General features: G+C 40.8%; 1 annotated feature.

The window, feature by feature from the left end:
• Positions 20,357–21,556: an enhancer, noted in NCBI's record as "CDK7 strongly-dependent group 2 enhancer chr14:98967301-98968500 (GRCh37/hg19 assembly coordinates)". NCBI's record gives its function as "activates an origin of replication core promoter dependent on BRD2, BRD4, P300/CBP, MED14 and CDK7 cofactors, with strong dependence on CDK7, by STARR-seq in HCT116 cells {active_cell/tissue: HCT116}" and the evidence as "EXISTENCE:reporter gene assay evidence [ECO:0000049][PMID:35650434]".

The raw sequence follows: 23,009 nt of genomic DNA, 5'->3' as shown, positions 1-23,009 counted from the left end.
TAAAAAAGAATGAAATCCTATCATTTGCAGTAACATGGATGAAACTAGAGGACATTGTGTTAAGTGGGATAAACCAGACACAGAAAGACAAATATCACATCTTTTCACTCATATATTTGAGGTGAAAAGTTGATATCATGAAGGTAGGGGTAGAATGGTGTTTACCAGAGGCTAGTAAGTGTTGTGTGGGGGAAGAAAGAGGGATCAATTAATGTGTAGAAAAACACAGTTAGATAGATGGAGTAAGTTCTAGTGTTCAATAGCACAGTGGGGCAAATACAGCTAACAAGAATTTATAGTATATTTCAAAATAGCTAGAAGGGAAGATAGGGAATGTTTCCAACACAAAAAAGATAATATGTGTTTGAGGTGATGGATATCCCAATTACCCTGATTTGATCATTACACATTGTATGCATGGATCAAGAAAACACATGTGCCCTATAAATATGTATGGTTATTATGTATCAACAAAAACAGATCTATATGGAATATAATAGATTGGCTTAAAAAGCCAATATTTCAGTTTGCTTTATGATGTGCTCTCTTAGTGAGTCATTCACCCAACAGGGCAAATAAGAAATCTAGAAAACGTTCCTAAAACCTCTTCCTCCCTAGTCCCCTTTCCCCCACTTCAATCATTTACCAACTTCTGTCAATTTCATACACTAAAAATATTTTGAATTCATCTCTTTCTCTGCATTCTTCCAATGTCCTGGTAGACCAGGCTATCTTTGTCCCTGTGAAACCAACAGTCATGTTACTGGTGGTCTTCTTTATTGAGTTTTCTCAATGATGGCAGGGGCCCACCCTAGTATCTACAATCTACACAAATCTGATCACATAGCTCCACCACTGAAGAACTTTCAGTAGCTTCCTCTTAGTGAAACTTGAGGCCTTGTATTATGATCTGGACATCTCTCACCTTTCCAGCCTCATCTTGCTATTCTCTCCCTTCTCTCTTTCTGTTCCAGAGAATTGACTTTCTTTCAATTCTTGGAGTCTGGTACATCCCTGCTCACCTCAGTGCCTTAGCACATGGTGTTCGCTCTGCCTTGAGTGCTTGACCCATCTGTGCCCCTCTCATTCACCAAGTAGTCTCCTATTCATGTCAAGATCTCAGCTGGGCTGTCATTTCTTCAATAGTGAGACTAGATAAGGTCTCAGGAGACTGTCATAGCAAACTGTATTTTCACAGTGCATATTTGTTAATCTGTGTGGTTATTTGATCAACGTCACTTTTCTTCACTGGGCAGTAAGCTCCCTGATGGCTGACACTGTCTATCTCATTCTCTATGGCATCCCCCACTCACAGCACAGAGCCTGACAAATAGCAAACATTCCATAAAAGTGGGTTGATGAAAAGGAAGAATAATTGAACGAGCTTGATACTTAAATTAAACCTTTAGCTTATTAAATTTTATAATTATAAAACAAGCTGACTTTTCTAACATCAGCCAGTTCATGACTATGGCATGCACGAAGCACTATCCCAGGCATCTGAGGCTGAACCGGGAGATCAAGCATGATCAGTTTACTCCAAGCACTGACATGTGAAATAGGGAAGAAAGACAGGCAAATGTGTTTTTCATGGGAGGGACAGTAGTTTTTTCCACTAATCACAGCCCCTCTAATAAACTAGGTATTATGTTGTTCTGTAATGATCTCTTTCCATGCTTGTTTTCCCCATTAGGCTGATGACTCCTCAGGGGCCAGAACTATTTGGTATTAATCTCTGTGGTCCCAAAACCTTGTAGGGACCAGGCACAACATGAATTGTCAATAAATATTTTACACATAATTAAATAACTATAAATAAATAAAAATCTAGGAATATTAAGTAATAGTTGAAGTATCCCTGCTTATTTTATGTATATGTTTTTAATTTCGAGGAAGTCTACAAATTTCAAAGTTTAGTTCTGTGCTGCTAAGCCCTCAACTACGATCAACAGAGTACCATTGACCAGCTCTCATCCCACAGTAAGAGTGCAGATGGCATATAATTAGCATATTTTAAAATATACATTCCTAAGTTGGGGGTATTTATATTTATATATATATATATATATAAAATAAAAGCTACCCCTCATCATCTCATAAGCTCAGAGCCACTGTCTGTGCTGCCAAACTCTCTCCTTCAAGTGGTGTCCTTGAAACTAAGGCACAATCAGGGCGCTTGATAAAGTCAAATGCTTCACTGATCTAAACAAAAGGCAGTTTGAAGATGTCTAGTTGGCATCCAGGGAGGGGGAGGATCCTTGGAGAGACTTGTCACATCCCTCCTTCTACATTTTTTTAAAATTTCTTGGCTGGGGGAGTTAAGATATGTGTGTTGGTTAGAAAGAAGTTATTTCTCGAGATTTTTTTTTTTTTTCCCAAGGACCAGGGTCAGGAAGAATCCACCCCAAGGGTAGTTGGAGGGAAGAAAAATAACAAGGCTCACGGGTGTCTGGGGACCACAACATTGTTCACATCCTCTATAATCATCAGTGCATGGCTTGGCTGTCTTGGTAATTTACATAATTCCATCCTGAAACCTTCACTTCAGTTATCCATCACTACTGCAATGGAGCTTTCTCTCCTGGCATGCTTCCTTCACTCTCTGTCCCTTGGTCTCTCTCTGGGTCCCTGTTTTTTTCTTCTCCCTTCCCCCTGCCCTCTTGTATGTTTCTGCCTCTCTTTCTCTCTCTCTCTTCATTTGTGCTTATGTTGATAGAACCAAGAAAAAAAAAGATGGATTTCACATCATTTCTGTCCTTCTTGTTCAACTCACATGAATTTGCTAAATGAGGAAGCATCAAGTCAATAGAGATAGGAACGATGCAGAAGAAGAGACTTCCCTTTTTCTATAATAAATAGTATCACTGAGGTGGGCGGAAGGGAGTTGCTTTAATAAATTTATACATGAACACGCTGGGGGAAATGAGGTCTTCAGTTTATACGTTGTTTTGAACATAAATCAGTTTATACTTTGCACTGAACATAAATTTGCAAATAGAGAAAAATTGGACACTGAGTATTCAATTCATCTTTCAGTATAATCCAGAGTCCATAAGTAAATAAATCCAAGGATTGCATGCAACTAGGAATATAATCAAGGCACAGTGCTGATGATTTTCTGCAAACATTTTAATTGACTGTTTTTATGGTTTAGGCTGCAAGAAAATAGGCAAATAATCTGAAGAATCTATAGTTGTTTTTTTTTTTTTCCCCTCACGGTACACTTTTGGGAAAAATACATATTTAGGAACATTATGTAAAAATACCTAGAAAACCTGTTGCACAGAACACATGCTTTGTGATCTTACCAATATGCAGTGCAAGTTATTATGAAATGTTTGACAAAGACTGAAGAAAACCAAGGTCGCTGGGGATGAAATGCTATGAGAAGGCAATTTATGCATATCTGATTTTTAAAGATAAGAATTATATAATTGAATTGATTCTAATAGCTTTTCATCAATTTCATTTTTTTAAATGCCCGCACTACCCCTTCATTCTTTGTTTTGTTTTTTTTTTTCTTTTTATCCACGTCTCCTATTTATAGGAGCATGTGGATAGCGCGCATGGATAAATAGTACGTGTGTACATGCTTTCAATAGTTGTTTTCTGAAAGGCAAGCTCAATGTTTTAGCCCTACCTGTAGGGTTTTTTAAAAAGGAATACTGATGCTTAGGCTCTCACCTAGACATACTGAATCGGAGTTTTGAAATAAAGAACAGCCACTAGGTTCCTGTACATTCTAATGGTAAACTTTCCATATGACATCTCTATTCACCTTCTAAATGTTCACCCATGCCCTTATGTAATTTTCAAGAATCTTTTCTACTGATGATCTGATGCCATTAAAATAGTCTTAGATTGGTTTTTTTAAATGTAAAATGATAAATCATAAGTGGCCACATCCTCCTTTGTAGGGACTCTGTGGCTACCTGAGCCAGGCACTATGCTAAGAATTTCATTTGCATGATCACACATCCTCACCATAATGCCACATGGTAGGAACTGTTATTGTCTCCGTTGTACAGATGAATACATCAAGGCTCACAAAGGGAAGTAACTTGCCCAAGGCCACTCATCCAGGACAATGCAGAGCAAGGATTGTAAGTAGGGAAATAGACAGGGTATTGTAGGCATGAACAAATGATGGCTGTTTATGAAGTAATCCCTGCTCTTTTAGTCTGTGGGTCTTGCTAGGAGACGCTATTGATCTTTTTAAAAATGGGAGAATTAAAAGCATTGAGGAATAAATGTACCTGCAGTCGGTGGATAAACTAGCCTGAGAGCTTCCTGAGGCCAGAGGTTGGATTTATTTCCTTTGTGTGTCCTTCGTCCCTTGATGGGGTTCAGAGGTCCTAACTAGAATGCAGCAGTAATTTGTTGAAGTGAGTCCCATTCTAATTCCACAGAATTCTAATAATGGCTAGGTTGTGCTTGGAGAGGTGATACAGTCATGTTTCCTCAGTGAGAAGCAGGTGGTACCTGGCCCACCAGCTGCCACTTCTGCTAGCAAGGGACAGACCCTGGATTACAGCAAAAAATTGTTACTATCTCAGAATATTGAACTTGGATGCTAATGCCTCTGTCTCTATCACTAGAAGGACTGTCCAACCAGCAGGACTCTATGTTGGTCCTCTCAGAATCTCTCTACTGAGCAGCGTGCATGGAACAGAAGAAGTATTGAATGGCTGCTGACCTGGACTGGCTGAACTGTATTGGCACCTGCTGTTTTCCTCACCCTTGTAGCCTAGGATCTAACACAGAGCTTGGCACATGGAAGAACCAGATTATTAGTTGTCAAATCAGTGAATAAGTTAGTAGAGGCATGGAATGTGTTAACATTTCCAAGTGTGATCTCATTGGCAGAATTCCCTTTGAACAAGTCTCCTAAGAACTCCCTCTATGGCAAACTGTATGACTCCCTGAAGAAGGATAATGCATATACTCTCATTCCTAGCTTTCTCAAAGGGCAAGACTTCACATTTCCACTGCACACCCAGATGACAGGCATCCCAAAGAAAACACAGAGTTTGTACAGTAAGAAGGGAGAAATATGAGCTAGGAAGGCTAGAAGCATCACAGCCAAGCCGAAGGGAAGTCTTCCTTGGAAGTCCTGCATACCAAGTCAATAGAAGATTCCAGTGCTTTATCCTTCCTTGAGAAACTTCCCACTGATCCTGACATCAACTCACATCCTCCTGCACTACTCTCTTGTAGCATCCTCGCTCCTTTTTTCATGACACCATCTACCTGAATTGACTTTGTGTATATGTATGTGTTTACTTTCATTTATTCACCTAACAAAGACTCAGTTTCAAGTCTCTTTGCTAGGTGTGATGCTAGAGCCTGGTTACTGCCTTTTGTCCTGAACAAAATGCAAAGTCTATAAGCTCAGGGATCATAAGTTTGCCTTGTTCATCAATGCATCCCTATCATCATCTGCTACATGGTGGGTCCTCAGTAAACATGTTGCTGATGAACACATGATGAATGAATGAGTGAATGAGCTGGGCTCTGTGCTAGACACTGGGGATGCAAAAGTGATTCAGCAGCGGCACTTGCCTTACCCTAAAGGGACTCAAACTCTGTGAAGTAGCACTTCTACCTGAACAACAGCACACCGGTCTGCAGCAATGCACCTACTGTCAGTGTAGAGACATGCCATCAATATGCAATGGATGGTGTTTACAAATACTTCCCCCAGAGCTAATGAGCCCGTGGGAGTCAGGGATCATGTCAAACTCATCTCTGAATTCCCTACAACACCTACTCCAGGATACTGTCCCAGTGGGCGCCTTGCAAGTACTGGTGGATTTGACATTTGAATGGAGACTTCCAGCCCACTCCGTGTCAGAATCCCCAGGGCTGAATGTAACAATGTTGACTGAAGAGAGCAACAGGATAATAGGGCAAGAGTAGAGTAGCCATTTATTGAGTTCTTAGTGTGTAGCAGGAATGACTGAACACTGAACAGAGGTGTCATTTATTTCTGACAGTAACCCAAGGGGCTAGATTCTCATGTCCTCATTCTATAGGATCAAACACTTGCCCCGGTTAAGACATGTTTGTTGGGATTACACAGCTGGGTAGTTACAGACCCTGAACCCCAAACCAAGTTGGGCTATGCCTGGAGCTTTTGACCTTCATGTAGCACTCAAAGACATTGGTTCTCTGCACAAACGTAGACAGATGGAGAGATCGCTACACAATGGGGTGACCCGCTGTTGCCGGCACTTGTAAAGCTCCAAATTTTGTCTCATATCTTCATCTCCACATAGTATCTAGGAAGTGCTTTTCAAACAATCCTATTTTCACAATGGTTTGGCATTTGATATAAAACTCCTAGCTCCCTACGGGAATGTTCATGACCCAACTGTGCACTGAAAAAAGGTTATTTATTTTTTTTTTTTTGGTAACAAATTTACAAGGCTTGGCAGAATCCACCTGGAATTTACATGCAGAGAGGAATTCTCATCAAACAGCTAATATTGTGCTTCTGTCAATTATCATTGTACTTGCTTCTATTAGCACTTGATTAAGCTACAGGGACGGAAAGCTTCTCCACACCCCCATATACACCAAGAAGTAAAAAGACAGAAAAAAAAAAAGGAAGGAAAATCAGAAATCACTTGAGCCATTTGGGGCAGGTGCCTTCTATTTCCACAAAGTTACATTTAAATATTGTTTTTCAAATCTACCATCTGCAAATCCAGAAAAATTGGCAGCCCCTAGACTTTCACAGTGGCTTTTTCTTTTGTTCTATCTAATACTAGGAAGTTACTTTGTTAAGATTGGAGTTTATGGTATAAATTGAATTAAGGCACAAATATATACAGTTCATTTTGTCTTTTAGCACTGCCCACTCTTACTTTCTCTTGTGATAAAGAAAACCATTAGCTCCTGTCAGAACCACGAGGAGGGAGATCATTTTTATTGAAATAAGAAGGAAATGATAGTGTCAGGCACTGAGTCCGAGAGATAAAATATTACATCTAATAAACATGCTACATATGGGATTCGACAAGGGGTCCTTGAATTACGGAACAACAGAAGCTTCAGGAAAACAATAACATTAATATCGAAAAATAATCACTAACCCTTTCATCTTGGAGAAACCTGCATTTTAATAAACAGGAGAGAAATTCAGGAATCTCTGAGAAAGCACCTTAATGGTATCCAGTGCATTGGAAGGACTGTCGAAGGTGGACCAGTGGAATGATAGCGGGAATGGATGTTCAAGACAATCGGTAATTAGGGCACGGGAGGTGGGGGCAGCCAGGAGACTTTGTTGAGAAGTAGAAGATACTTCATATGCTGCAGAGAAGCAAATTAAGGCATGGACAGGAGGAGTCTAAATTTGAATGGGTAAAAAGTTTCAAAAGAATAGATCTACAGTGGTTGTCTGGTATGCTGGGTGGACACAATATCTAGGTCTATGTTGGGCTCAGCAGCATATGGTGCCAGGAGTGATGAGTGGCACCTGCTTTAGGGATGGGGTGGGGGTGGAGGCTGAAAGGACAGTGTGTGGTGTTGTTGGCAGAATACTCTGTATTTGCCATTATTTGTTCAAATCACTAGTTCTCAACTGGGGGTTATTTTGATTATGTCTGAAGACACATCTTGGCTATCACACTAAGGGCATGGAGATGCTATTGGCATTTAGTGGGTGGAGTTCAGGGATGCTGTCGCATATCCTACAGTGTCCAGGGCAGACCCCTATGGCAACAAAGAATTACCTAGGCCTAATTGTCAATAGTGCTATGGTTGAAAAACTAGGGTTAAAAGTTGATGTTTTCCATTTCCCAGTGGAGAGTCCACCTGCTCCTCAATGACCCCATATCCAGTGCTCTTTTGAGTACAGTTTCCCTTGGCAGTTTCTGATTTTTCACACCAGGCTCCTAAGTCAGGATTAGTGTTTCTCTGCAGATCTAGATCTTCACTTGGTTTATCAAAGTTTCTAAAAAATAAATTGAGTATTATTATTGACAATATCACAAACTACAACAATGAATGAGCAATTTCAGTAGTTGCCACTTATTGAGTGTCTACATGTTGTCAAGTACAAAGTTCAACACATTCTACATATTATCTTAGATTAAGCAGACATACCTGTAAAGGTATTCTCTTCCCCAAATTATACAGAGAGAAATTTACAGAAAGTTGCCCAAGCTAGTAAGCTACAGAGTCAAGATTCAATACAATTCTGCTGACCTCAAAGCTTGATCTGTTTGGGGCTATCCAAAGGTTTTTTCAGCCCCAGTACTAATGACACTTAGGGCTATGTAATTTTATGCTGTGGTGGTGGTGGGTATTTCCTGTGCACTGTAAAATGTTTAGCAGCATCCATGACCTCTACCCACTAGCTACCACTAGCCACCCTGCCCAGCCCCAGTTATGACAACCAAAATTGTCTCCAGACATTGTTAAATATCCCCTGGAGGGCAAAATTGCCCATGATTGAGGGCCATTCACCTAGGCAATATGTGTTAGAGTTTCAGCACTGAAACCCCACAGACCTTACAGAGATTGTAAATGGTTAACTGTTTGCTATGAAATTAGAAGACAAAGAAATAAATTCTATGTAGTCTTTCCCTTCCTCTGCCATTAGAAATGCATCTGTCTTATTTGTAACATGTGCGAACTTGAGGCTTTTTGGCATAGATTGTTTCCATGAAAACATATTGGGAAAATCCCCTACCTGCCAGATTCAGGCCTCTGCCTGACTTGGCCTGGGTTAAAATATTCTGACTTTCCCCTGGGCTTTTATTCCTGTGAGATGATTAACTGATGCATCTCAAGACAGTGATCATCGTGGTCGTACTAAGCACCTGCTCTGGGACTGGTTCTATACTTCTTATTCAATTTGTATACAATATGATTCTGTCACATAGATACCTTCATTTATATTGTGTAATAAGTGAAGTGGGACTCTGAAATTAGGAAACTGGCTGTAGTCATACCCTGTGAGAGGGTGCTGAGGATTTTGAATCCAAAGTCGATCCCTGCAAAGCCCACGTTGCTTTACCTCCAACCCCCTGGTGCCCATGACATGTTAGTCATATATATTGCTCCTTCCCTCTAATTAAAAAAATAAAGTTTAATCGTTGTTGAAACTAAGTGATTAATGAATAAGAATGTTTATGCTTTCCTCTTTATTTTTACGTATGTTTGAAGATTACAACAATAAAAGATGTTAAAAATTCAACTGCCCACCTCCCCATAGAAAACAAAACCACTCATCTCACGCTTGATTTTAATTTAAGTGCCTAAGTACTGTCTTTCAGTTGCCTGGAGTTTATTTTGAAGCCAAACTTTGAGTTGAATCTCGTAGGGGAGCTCGGTGCTCAGACGGCACAGGGAGCTCTAAGCTTCCTGAAAGTCCTTGGTGGAGAAAATCATCTTCTCCTCTGCCTTCCTGGGACTCCTCCCTTTGCCTCCCCCAGCAGCCTAAACCCCAGCAGAGCAGCGTGGGGTGCTGACTGCCTGGCATTCGGTCTTCCTCATGCTCAATGGCCCAGTTGTCTGTTGCTCAGAAGTGCAGATAACAATGTAATTCAAGCAAAGATTTCAAAAGAGACTCACAGACACGTTGCCTTACACCTTTTTTACCTGCTCACTGTTTAAACTGAGAAAAAGACAGAACTGGGGGACTTCAGCTCCTGAATATTTCACAAGTGTGTCTCTGTTCTGCAACACAGCCAGAGCCACCTTCAGAGAAAAGGTAAGAGGAAAAGTACTGAGATTTCCTGGGGTAAAGGGACCTGAGAAATTCCCTGTTTTCCCCCATGAAAATGAAAGCGATAGCATGAGCTTGGTTTATCAGATGAGAGTTTTGCTATTAATCACCTAAGCATAACTCTCATCTCCACCAGTGTGCTAAAAATAGACATTTTGAATATAAACCACGTCTTTTTAACCTGACAGCTGTTTGGAAGATTAGAAAGCATTGTTTGCTTTAAGTTGCCTTGGGAAGACCGAGATTACCTCCTCGTCTTCTCTCTCTCTTTCCACCCCTTCTTCCATTAACAAAGATTCTCCATCTCTAGATTGATCTGTGAGCCCCGGGAGTAAAAACGTAGAACTTCCACAGGCCATCCTGTTTTGCTCTCTGCAAGAATCTAAATGTGACCCTTTCTTTGTGGATTTGAGATTCCCTGGGCTAGGACATATTCTGGGTAAACTCTCCAAATTATCTTTTTCATATATTATTTCAAAAATATCCATTGCTCCTACTGTGTACTCAATACTATGCTAAGCACAGCAGGACCAGAAAGAAATATGACTACCTCCACTACTTCTGCTACTGAAGATCACAGTGATAAATAAAATCCCTCTCTCATGTAACCCACAGTAGAGTGGGACGGGACAGATGGGGAGAATGCACAAGCTGTGGAAAGAGGTATGAATCTCCCACTGTGAAGAGTCAAGGCAGGAATGAGAGAAGGGGATTCAAGACAATTTTGCAGAGGGAAACTAGAAGTGAAGTCTGAAAGTATGTAGGAGTTAACTGGAGGATATGGCCAAAGCGCATTCTAAGAGGGAACAATAAAGCAATGGTGGAAGAGCAGCAAAGTCATGGTCCAGGACCTGATGAGTGAGTGAGTTTCAAATAGGTTGAAAGTGAAGGGGTATAGAGGAGCAGCCCAGAAATGGTTGTAGGGAATGGTCAGATTGCTCCCCCAAAGCCCAGCCTTCACTCTGACAATTATAGAAAGCCACTGAAAGAATAAGACTGGGAGGAATAGGGCCATATTTGGTGTGTTTTTAAAAACACCTTTATGGATACTTAATTGACCAGAATTAAACTGTATCTTTTTTGTGCATGATTTGATGAGTTTTGACACCATCTATAAAACCATCACCATAATCAAAGTACTCCTCTTTTCCTTCTACTCTTTAGACATATATTAGACTGAAGTCATCACACAACTCACTGATACTTGGTTTAATTTTTCCCCATTTTGTTGTTCACTTTGTTTAGTTTGAAAACTGTCTATTGTTTTGACTTCGAGTTTCGTAATACTTCCTTCTTCAATATCTAATCTTTCCTTAATCCTATTTAGTGCATTTTTCAATTTAAGCACTGTAGTTTTTACCTCTAAAAGCTTAATTTGGTCTTTTTGTATGTTCTATTTATCTACTTTACTTTTTGTCTACTCATTCTATTATGTGTGTAGTTTCTAGGTTAATTTTGACTGGTTTTTCTTCTCATTGCCATCTGTATTTTCCTCCTTGTGCGGATGCCTGGTAATTTTTTATTAGATGCCAAACATGGTAAATTTAGTCTTGTTGGGTGCTAGACATTTTTGTGTTTGAAAAAGTATTTTTGAACTTTGTTTCAGGTCCTGGCTAAGTTACTTAAACATAGTTTGAGTCTTTTAAATCTTGCTTTTAAGCTTTGTTAGGAGGGACCAGAGCAGTATTTAGTCTAGAGCTAATTTTTCTCTGCAACAGAGGTAACACTGCTTTGAGAATTCTACCCAATACTCCGAGCTGTGTGTTTTCCACTCTGGCTGGAGAGAACAGAAATTATTTCTGGAGGTATCTAAAGACAGTTCCCTGTTATCCTTTCAGGCAGCTCTCTCCTTGAGGAGTTTTCTCGCATGGATGCAATGACCAGTACAATAGTCTCCTCTTACTCTTAAAGGATACATTCCAAGACCCCCAGTGGGTGCCTGAAACCCTGAGTATTACCAAACCCTGTATATACAATGCTTTTTAATACATGCATACCTATGATGAAGTTTTATGTATAACTTAGGCATAGTAAGAGACTAACAAGAATAATAAAAATGGAACACATAACAATATACTGTCATAAAAGTTATGTGAATGTGATCTCTCTCTCTCTCTCAGAATACCTTATTGTACTTTACTTCGGGTAACTGAAACCGTGAAAAGCAAAACCACGGGTAAGAGAGACTACTGGATTCTGTTGAAGATTAGAGAAAAGCCTTTCTCAGAGTTTTTCTTCCTGTGTAGCTCTTTCCTTTCTGCTACTTCATTCTGAAAACTCCTGCAGTCCTTCCCTCCATGGCCTCCCAGCTGCATTGCTTCACCTCAGGAAGACACTGGGCTCTGCCTCTATTCCCCAGTGTTCTAAAAACTCTGTCTAAGCAGTAAGCTGGGGGGAAATGATAGGGTTTACTTCATGCGCTGCCCATATTTCAGGGAACCCTGCTTTTTTGCCTCACGTTAATTTGATTAAAACTGTTGTTCTAAATATTTTGTTGTTGTTTTTCAATTGACTCAAGTGAGAATGAATGTGTGGTCCCTGTTAGTACAAGTTAGCTGGAAGTGGGAGTCTTCTCATGTTGTTTGTGAATAGTCTCTGACTGGGACATACATCCGGGACTGGGATTGTCAGGCTGGAGGCTGGACATCCTTTGGAGACCACTGCGATGTCTTCCCAGGGATGGAAGTTTTGCCTTAGGCTGGGAGACATAGGGAAGGGCAAGCGGGAAAGGAACCTGAAATACTAAGAAATTAGCCTCTTTTTGTGATGCAGTGTATGTAAATAATGAGTGAGAAGAAATACAGGTGCTCCCAGTCTTTTGTCCCCGGTGACCCAACGAATCATCTCCTGATTTTGCAGGATTCTAAAGGAACTCACGGGCTTCCTTCTGGGAAAAGCCATAGACGTCACTGTTTCCTTCAATATGGGCCTTTTGCTTTCTGATTATGCCATAGAACCTGATAGGGAAGTGTCAGAAAAATGTATTAGGATGTGAGAAAGATATAAAGTCCGAAAAGGAATTTGAAAATAGGTGAATGTTATCTGAAGTGGAAAAAAAAATGCAACCTCAACAATAGAACTAATCAGTATAGTCCCCTCCAAGAGTTTAACAAGATTCTTTCTGTTTCTAGATAATCACTTCATCTCAACCATTGTTAGGTATTTTTTATTATATAATTCATGTTCTTCTGCTATTCTTCTTTCCAGAGACTTAATCTTATTTAAATTAAAAAATCACACACCTTGTTAATTAAAACACCAGATGAGAGCAATTGATAATTCATGCAAGGGAAAGCAAACATCTTTTCTATAAATATTTCTCCTCTTGGTTCTTTACGTGCTTATTATTTAAGCTTTAGGAAACCACTTTATGCTCTAAACCAAACTAATTAATAATAACCACTTACATGTGCACAATAGTTCACAGTATAGAAAGCTTTGCTTTTATCTCTTATTTAATTTCATCTCTTTAACCATCCTACAAAGGGGCAAGGCCAAGAATTAATCATCCTTCACATGATAGAGGAGGAAACCAAGGTTGTAAGACACGACATGATGTGCCCAATGTCTCAGTTGGCAGCTTTCAGCATGCGACTCCAAATTCAGTTTTGCCTTTCTATCACGCATTGGGGTTTTCTTGCAAGTGAAGAATGAAAAAATTTCATTTTGCAAGTGGGATCTAGCTCTCGACATAATTTTAAGCTGTTGAAACAGGTGAGTAGTGTCTCTCAAAACAAGAGAGTTTAGGGAAGGGAAAATACTGCTTCTTTCAGATGCTTTGAATGACAGCTTGATGGCTGTATCAATACAACTTCAAAAACAAAGAGGGAAGAGGGAAGCATTCCCATCTCACCAGTTATTTGGTGTCATCTAAGGCAAATAAGAAAGAACAAATCTCAGTAATTCTTGAAGTGAATTAATTTTTTAGCACAGAAGTCGGCCAATCTGGTTTGAGTCTACAAAAATAACTTCAATAGTTTTGCCTGAAATAGCAGGGTGATGTTTTTTCTTTTGTTTAATGCCTATCTTCAATTTGCTCATTACCAAATGGGCCTGGGCAGTCTCTGAAATTAGAGAGCTTGGATGGAGATATCAGATCCAGACTCCAGGCCCAGCTGAAGGTCCATTTCTCCTGATAAGGCTGTCCTTTTCATCCCATGTCACAGAGAGTTCTCTCGACGCTGCACCACCTCAAGTCAAGTCCTCAGGAAGGTGGAGTCAAGGTTCATGTGAGTTTTCCCCAGGAGTTTCTCATGGGGCTGAACTTCAATGTATTCTTTACCAGGGATGTTGTGTAGCAGAGTCACCAGAGTATGCATTGGAAGTCTGAAAAACTTGGAGTCAAATTCTGAAATGTGCATGCCTTTTGGACACCTTATCTAACCTATTTGAGCCTTAGTCACTTTACGATTAAAATGAGTTTAATACCCATTATATCAGTGCCTCAGTCTGTTCAGGCTGCTATTGCAAAATACCTTAGGCTGGGTGGCTTATAAACAACAAAAGTTTATTTCTAACAGATCTGGAGGCTGGGGAAGTCCAAGATCAAGACACTGGCAGGTTTGGTGTCTGGTGAGGGTCTGTTTCCCGGTTCACAGATGGGGCCTTCTAGCTGTGTCTTCAAGTGGTGGAAAGGCAAGGCAGCTCTCTGGGCTATTTTTATAAGGGCACTAATCCCATTTATGAGGACCACAACCTCATGACCTCATCACCTCCCACAGGACCCATGTCTTAAAGTATCACATTGGAGATTAGGTTTCAACATATGGGTTTAGGGGGACACAAACATCATCACCGCAGCAATGAGATATTCTGTGTATAACCCAAATAAATCCCGGGCCTCCTGTGCTACTATCTCAACATAGCACTGCATTCAAACAGATACATTCCAGCAACCAAAAGGTAGCTGAAAGTACTTAACAACGTATTTATCTTGTGAAAGAAATGTCAAAGAAAGAGGAAGAATACGTAATTAATACACATCAACCATCTAAAAATTCCTCTTTTCTGATCTCTGTCACATTTAAAATCCCCAATACCTAATTCTCAACACTTTTACTCTCTGCTTGCAATTCCAAACAGAGAACTCCTAGCTTATCTGTTTATTCTTCTCCCTTCTCCCTCTTTTTCTTCTCTCTATTGCATGGATACTATGGTCTTTATGGATTTTTTTTTAACTTTCTCTCTTCCTTGCTTAATTCCCAAATTCTTTACAGCAGTGGAAAGCTCTTGACCTGAACTAGCATGCAGAGATCTTTCTCTTACAGAAGTCAGAGGAGTGAGTAATACTGTAATTATTCATCTGTCGACAACTTTGGTCAAAGAACCAACTGATTTTTGCACATATCTCATGTGCCAAATGCCTAGCACAGTGCCTGGAATTCAATACTGTACATGCCATTCTTTTCATACAACCTTGGAAAGAGTTCCAGTTATTCAGTATGAGTGTTCCTCATCTCCCCAAGTGGACAGCAAATTTCCAGAAGTCTAGAATCCTATCCGGTAGCTTATTAAATTCTTAGAGTCTAGAACTATTCTCTAATGATTATAGGCCATTCATTTAAAGTAATACAGTCACTTATTTAAAACAACATAGTGCTCCTACTACATTTCTAATATTGAGCTAGGCTCTCAGGATTTAATATAAAGAAGACATATTCACAATTTCCATGAGTCTCCCAGGCTAATGAAAGGGAGCCTTGTAGAAAATAAATAAATAAATAAAATAAAGGAAGCACAGTTTGTAATAAACCTTCAGATCACTTCAACCAGACTGTTGCAGTCATCTTTCAGCCGCTGAGTGTCGGCTGCCAGTGGCTCATAGATTTACACTTCCCAGGAAATTAACATGGCCAGTGGGGCAGCCTTACCCAGCCCAGTGCTGCTCAGGAGGTCCTGTCTCCTCATCCATTATCCAAAACATGGCCTATAGCCAATGACTGGCTGATAGGGAGCAAAGAAGCCTGCCACTGATTTCAAAGCAGAACAGGTTATGCCTCAGAGCTCCCCTTGGGATCAGGGTAAGGCTAGACTTCAGCTGAAACCATGTCTTCTTCCCCAGCACCATCTTGCTATTCACTTTTCTTACAGGTTTTACCTGAGAGCTCTCTCTCAATAAGTTACATACAAAAGAATCTTCATTCAGGCTGTGTAGTTAGGAATCGTGTCTTAAAACACAGTGCTATTATAGCTCAGGATATGATGGGCAGGGAGAAGAGAAGGCTATCCTTGAGACATCTGGGAAGGCTTCACTGGGTTAGGGGCATTGCATTTCATCTTGAAGGATGTGTTGGAGTGAGGATAGTAGGAAAGAGATGATGTATGTGGAGTGCTACCAAGCCCACAGTGCATACTAATTGCTGAAGAAATGATAATTTCTCTCACTTCTTTCCTAATATAAGCAAAAATAACTATAGGAGCAAAGACATCAGAGTGTGAAAGATCATGGCATTGTTAGACAATGCAGAAAAGTTCCGTGGCCTGGAGCTCAAGGAGACTAGTGGAGACTTGTAGGAGATCCAGGTCCCTAAGGCATCCAGGTACCATGCTTTTTTCTCATACACATCAGAAAGCCAGAAGAAGTTTTAAATCAAAAGGATGATATTGGATCTGTGCTTCTAGAAGCTAATTCTGGTGGCAGTGGGAGGGTGCATTGGTGTAGTGAGACAGGGAGATGAGATAGGCGGGAGAAGCTTGAGAGAGAGATGGAGAAAAGAGGTTTTAGAGTTGGGGATACATTTAAAGGATTCTTAAAAGAGTGACACTTCAGCGTGAAGAGACCAATTTAGATGGAGCAAGGAGCCAATATTAGAGTGAGTGATGATATTCTGGCATCTTGCAGTGATAAAATACTAAACTTGAATAAGGATTATTCTATTAACTATATTGGTAAAAAACAATTCTAATGAATGGTGCCACCCAAGTAAAACAGACATTATCCTCTTATTTGAAACCTCCCTGTAATTTAAGACATCACTGTCGTATTTAAAAGAATGCATTATTGCAAGTGCTAGTAGGTCAACATTCATTAGCAACCCCACAATAATAGCCAACAGTGTGAAGAGTGAGCCTACGCTTGAGGAAAACAATTTCAGTTAGAAAATAGACTCTCATTTCTATCTCTTGCAAGGTTATTATAGCAACAAGAAAATGAAAACACTTTTATTTTTCAAATTTATGAAAAAGCCTTCACCACCACTGTCATTCTAGGCAGGAAAACATCTTTAGCCGATGTAGCCTTTTCTTCTCTGAACTTAAATAAAGACACACAGCTATCAAGCATAAGGAGAATGGGAGATTTTGATGATGTCTTTATAAAATGCAAATGAAAACTAAGCTGTTAATGTTTAATACAGGTATCGGATTAGATGTATTTTCTTGCCGTTGGTGGATGTGTGTGTGTGTGTATGTGTGTGTCTGCCTGTGTTGTCTGAACTGAGTGTATGTGTGTGGGTGTGGGTGTGCCTCTGTTGTCTGAACTGTGTGTGTGTGTGTCTTGTGTTGTCTGAGGTGGGTGCATGTGTGTGTGTGTGTCTGCTTGTGTTGTCTGAACTGGTGCATGTGTGTGTTTATCTGAGATTGCTGGAGGTAGGTGGTCATTTTAATTCAGCGTACTTTTTTAACAGATGACATTTTCACATAGTTTATTTCCTTTACTCTTCATAAGAACCCTTGGATAAGTATTAGAAAGCCATTTTAAAGGAAAGAAAACAGAGCCTTAGAAATATTGGGTGGCTTCTTCAAGATCACTGAACAAATAACGAAGCAAAGAGTGTTGGGGCAAGAGAGAAGACACAGTCCCAGAGCCATTGGGTAGCTTGCAAAGGCTTGCAGGTGCCATTAAAAGGCAGAGCCAGGACGTAAACTCAGAGTGGAGAGGCTTATCTCTCTCCACTCCCTGATCGTCTCATCCCCGAACCCTAGACTAGAGGGAGCTTTATAGGCTGATGCAGAAGTTCCCAAACTTGTCGGCACACTGGGAGCACCAAGGGAGCTCCCAAGAGCACTCATGCCTGTATCCTACCCTAGAGATGGTGAATTAATGGGTACAGGGTATGACCTTAGCTTTGGAAATTTTCAGATTCCCAGGTGATCCTAATTTGAGACAAGCTTGGGAAATACTGGTAAAGTCATAAAGAACAAGTTCTCCGAAGCCCACAGACCTAAGTTCAAATCCCAGATTCTACACTTCCTAGCTGTGTGACCTTGGGCAAAATGCTTGATCACTCTCTGCCTTGGTTTCTCCATAGCATCTACTCCACAGGGATGTTGTGAAGATTAAAGAATAAATTATAAAGCACTTAGAAGTGTTTGCCATTATTGGTTTCTTAAAACAGCAATAAACCAACTAACAAAACAGGGACCCCTGGCTTCTGTGCCTGGGTGTCCAGGAGGAAGAACATGCTGAAAAATACCACCAATATAGAGAGACCACCAATCAGAACTTGGGCTGGGAGGAGTTAACGGAATCTTCAGCCATCAGAGCTGGAAAGGGGCCTTAGACAGCATCTCTTTCCTCACCAGGTGCAGGTTGTATGGGTAATAACTCCAAAGAAGCTAAATGACTTGTCCAAAGCCACACAGCAATAATACACTGCTCGAGATAAGATCAAGGTTCTTCCATTACTCTCTGGAACAAGTTCTGCTTTATGGCGGCTGCTCTTGGAGGGTTAAAGGCGTTGGGTGGGGCTCATGAGTATGGGTTATGTTGATTTAAAGGCAGAAGCTCACGGGTTCCTGAGAACCCTCTCTGACCTGCAGTGACCTCGATTCACATACTCTTGAGGGACAAGTCTCAACTGACCAGTGGGGCTGGTGCTTGTCATAGTTTCTCTGCGTGTCTCTTCAACATGCCCTGGCTGGTGCGGAGAAATTCTCTTTAAAGCATCTTTGAATTAGAATCATCCAAAAAGGGTTTGATTTGCCTTTCAGCATTTTAAAGGGAGGCATTTTCACTCGTATACCTAAGCAATCAGCGGCCCCTCTGTCTATGAGGAGTCTACTGGCATTTTGCAGTCATACAAACTCTAATCACAGCGGCAGTACTTGACTCATTCTTTCTATGTTTGCATTTTTAAAGGCCATTTAACTGGAACACATCTTTTCAAACAAAATCCTTGGGAGAGTGTTGGCTTTTGTGTGAGTATGAGGTAGTACCAGAAAGGTGTTCTCTGGAATCAGATATGAGTTGTCTGCTGACATCTGACACAGGAATTTCTCAACCTTGACGCACCTTAGTTTCCTTACCTTTTAAATTGGGGGTTATGAGAGCCTTGTAGTGAACTTGTAAGATCAAATCAGACAATGCACAAATCAGATCGTTAGTATGATGATCAGCGCCTGACAATTAACTTGGAAATAGTTTCTTTTTGTTCTGGTATTTTATGTGGAGAGAATGAAGTGAATTAATCAGAGTGCATCAGAAACAAATGTTCATGGCTCAGTTTCCCGGGAAGCAAAACCTGTGGGCTGTCAAAGCTGAGTCAGGTAGCATCTCTGCCCTGGAGGAGTTTTTGATGTAGTTAGAGGCAAGAAATTAATGAAATATGTGTTAATGTATCAGGTAGATAAGGTAGGTTACTCAAGTACTGTAGTGTGTTAGAGGTGGCTATCAATGTTGTAGAACAGGTCACCAGCTAGCAATTTCAGGCTAGTTCAGGACTGTAAACAAGTGCTATTTGGTTTTTCTTGACAAATAAACAAATAAAATATGAAAACAAGGAAGAAAAACCATTTGATTTAGTTGCCAAAATTGTAAATTCAGATTTCACTTAAAAATCTTTATTGCCCAATTATCTTTAAAAAGGGAATAATTAAGAAATCTGGAAACAATCCACTGAATTTTAGTCCCAGCTGTGCCCTTTAGATGAAGTGTTAATATATTATCTTTAGTTTGGTGCAGTCCCCACCAGCCCCTGCTGTCTCTCCAGTTGGGGTGCCCCTTACAATCTGACCTGCATTGTCATTTCAGTCACAGTAGAGTTAAGAGGAAAATGAAACAGACCATGCTCCAGGAAAGTGTTTCAAGGAAAACAGAAGAGAGCATAATGGACTAAAAGAAACATCATTCTTATATGAGTAACATCTAAACCAACAAAGATTTATGTGTCATGAAAATAAAACATAAGTTTTCATTACAAAATAAAATATTGCAAAACAACACAGGTGTAAGGGAAAAATGCATGAAGAAAAGCACAAGTGAAAATTGGTGAAAAAAAATCCATCCTGGTCTAATGTGTTGATTGCCATTAGCACCTTGGCAATTGTCTCTTGTATGCGTGTTGGTGCAGAAATGCAAGCATGAAACTGAATCCTTAATTTACCGTACCTTTGTTGCATGGCGTGAATCCTTCTGATATTTACTTTTGCAAAATGAAGACAATAACATTGACCTCCTAGGATTTGGGGGAGGACTAGATGAACAAAGTGCAGAAAAGTGCCTGTGGTTGTGGCTCATGGCTGATGGTAATACATGTTAGTTAAATCTGAAAATGCAGAGGGCTGGGGGAAGAATTTTGAGACCTTGAGTAATTGAGAGATGTCATTGAGAAAGTAAGATATCGCTGGACTTCTCAGAGAAAAAAGTAAGATGCAAACAGGCCTGGGGCAGGGTGATGTCCTAGGTGAATTGCACAGCACACATCCAGTTGGGGATGTGGATGGGGACAGGTTGGGCATCAAGCTTCTGGATTCTGCTGGGCTGAGGGTCCATGTTTCTGAGCTGAGTCATCCCATGTGGTGGGTGAGTCAGGTCTTCAAAAGCCTGGCCATGGGGCCTTTAGGCTTCTTATCCCTTCAGACCTAGGGTCCAACCCACCGTATGTGTTGATCTCTTACGTGCCAGTAGTTGAGCTAGGTCCTGGGAGCAGAGAGATGTTGAAACTCAGATTCTAAATGTATTCTGCCTAAAGTCAGACCACAGATCCGTCACTTGGAAAATGTGTTACCTGGACACATTCCTTAACCTATCTTCATCTCAGTTTTCTCATCTGAAAAATGGAAATCATAAAGGTGGCTGCCCCATTGCATTTTGTGAGTGGGGGGTTGTGAACAAAACGTAGACTTCATACATGTGCGTGAAGGTTTTTTATAAGGCCTGGACCTCAATCCCAAACTGTTCATTATCCAGTGCTCAGGAAATGGACCACTGCAATGGAGTAAAACACGTGCAGAGACAGAGGTTAATCCAGGGCTGCTGGAACAGCTTGTAGTATGACTGGCCCCACCCAGGTGACTCAGGACTTAACAGAGAAGGTGACGTGAGGCTTGGTCAGGGCCTGCAGGTTGAGGAAGCTCTGTGGGAAGAAGAGCAGGCAGTAGCGAAGGCCTTAGCGAGAGTAGAGATTACAGGAGCAAGAAGGTAGTCAGGGATGCTTGGGAACCACAGACAGACAGGTAGCTTGGAGCCAGGGAGGGCTACAAGGAGCCGGGAGGATGGATCTGGAGTTGTCCAGCTGAGCCTAGAATAAGAAGAGCCTTAAGTGTTGCATTGAAGAGATTTTATTTTCCTCTATAGGTGGTCAGGGGCCTCTGTGTGACTTAAGAGTACAGGTTGAGACCATCCTGGCTAACACGGTGAAACCTCATCTCTACCGAAAAAAAAAAAATTACATGGGCATGGTGGCCAGCACCTATAGTCCCAGCTACTTGAGAGGCTGAGGCAGGAGAATGGCGTGAACCCAGGAGGCGGAGCTTGCAGTGAGCCGAGATTGCGCCACTGCACTCCAGCCTGGGCGACAGAGCAAGACTCCATCTCAGGAAAAAAAAAAAAAAAGAATACAGGAACGACACCATACCATTCGGCTAGAGGAAGTGTTTTTTAAGCATCCACACTCAGGTGCTTGCAAACAGGAAGACTGGACAAACCTCTCTGCGAGACAAGGCGAAGCAGGTGTCATGAAGTCCGGGATTTCTCTGGAACAGCATCTGGCCTTTGCCCCTGCTAGTTGTTTAGCTCTATTTAGTATCTTTTATGCATTCAACACATCACACATTGCAAAACATTGCTTTTCAGGGTTGCTTGAATTTTTATAAAGAGATAACAGCTGTTGTTTCAAGTAAGACTGATCCAGGCGTTGCTGCCAGCCATATACCATGCTTGTGGAAAGCATCACTTCAGTAACATCCAGCGGTGTGGAGTCTCTGGTTTGGATTGGATGTTTCCCAGAAGGGAGAGCTGGGTGGAAAGGGACTCATTTCTGCCAGAGAAGAGAAAGGCATGCCCCATGGGGTGTCCTCCAGAATGAAGGATCTCAAAGGCCAGATATATGGTGAGCACTTGGAAAATATTCATTGAATGAATGAATGGATGAATGAATAAACAAATGAATTAATGATCTCTCTCACCTCATTGATACATAGTATATTGGGGGAGAAGAAAATTAAAACAAATGTATTCCAGGTTTTTTTTTTTGTTTTTTCTTAAATTAGCTTTTAAAAAATTTCACAAGTACAATGTTAGTCCTTTCTTGACATTATGAAAGTCAAGACCAAGACAGTCTTTCTTCATGGCGCTGTTTTCTGAGGGTCCTCTCTTCTCACTCTGGCATCCACCGTTTAAGCCTGTTTCTCCACATTTACATATACATAGCTAGGACTTTTATGTGGCTGTCTGTATTTACAACTGTATCTCCACCTGCTTTTAGGAAATTAGGGATTACTTTCCTTATTTAAAAGATAGGGAAACTGAGGCTCAGGGAAGTGATCTTCTAAGTTGAAGGTCTTTAAGAGTCAAGATTTGAACCTGGCTCTGGTGACCCCGACTCCTGTTCTTTCACCAGGCTTCCCTCAGAATGAGTTCTCCCCTGGTTCCCACTGTGTGTTTGTCTTTGAATTATGAGTAGAGTAAACCCTGTCCACACAGGAAGGGGAAGCAGACAGTAGGAAAAACCACAGTGCAGTGGAGAAAGTGAATTCCTGTGCTATTCAATATGGTAGTCACTAGTCACGCATGGCTTTTTAAACACTTTTAAGTCAAAATTAAATGAAATTAGAAACTCAGTTTCTCCATTGCACTGGCCACATTTCAAGTGCTCAGTTGTCACATGTGGCTGCCAGATTGGACAATACAGATATAGAACATTTCCATCATCACTGAAAGTTCATTTGAACAGCACTGCAGCTAGACTGTAAAGCGTTGCAGCAGAGTGAGGGCTTATTCACATTATGCAGGAAGAATATTTTTCATTGCTTTCCTGACATTGAACTAATACATACACACTGACTAATACATACACACTGAACTAATACATACACCATGTCATACACACTGACA

Source organism: Homo sapiens, chromosome 14 (assembly GCF_000001405.40).
Source record: "Homo sapiens chromosome 14, GRCh38.p14 Primary Assembly".
Classification (NCBI taxonomy): Eukaryota; Metazoa; Chordata; class Mammalia; order Primates; family Hominidae; genus Homo; species Homo sapiens.
The sequence above is the reverse complement of the archived record's forward strand: the minus strand, read 5'-3'. Positions and strand labels throughout refer to the sequence as shown.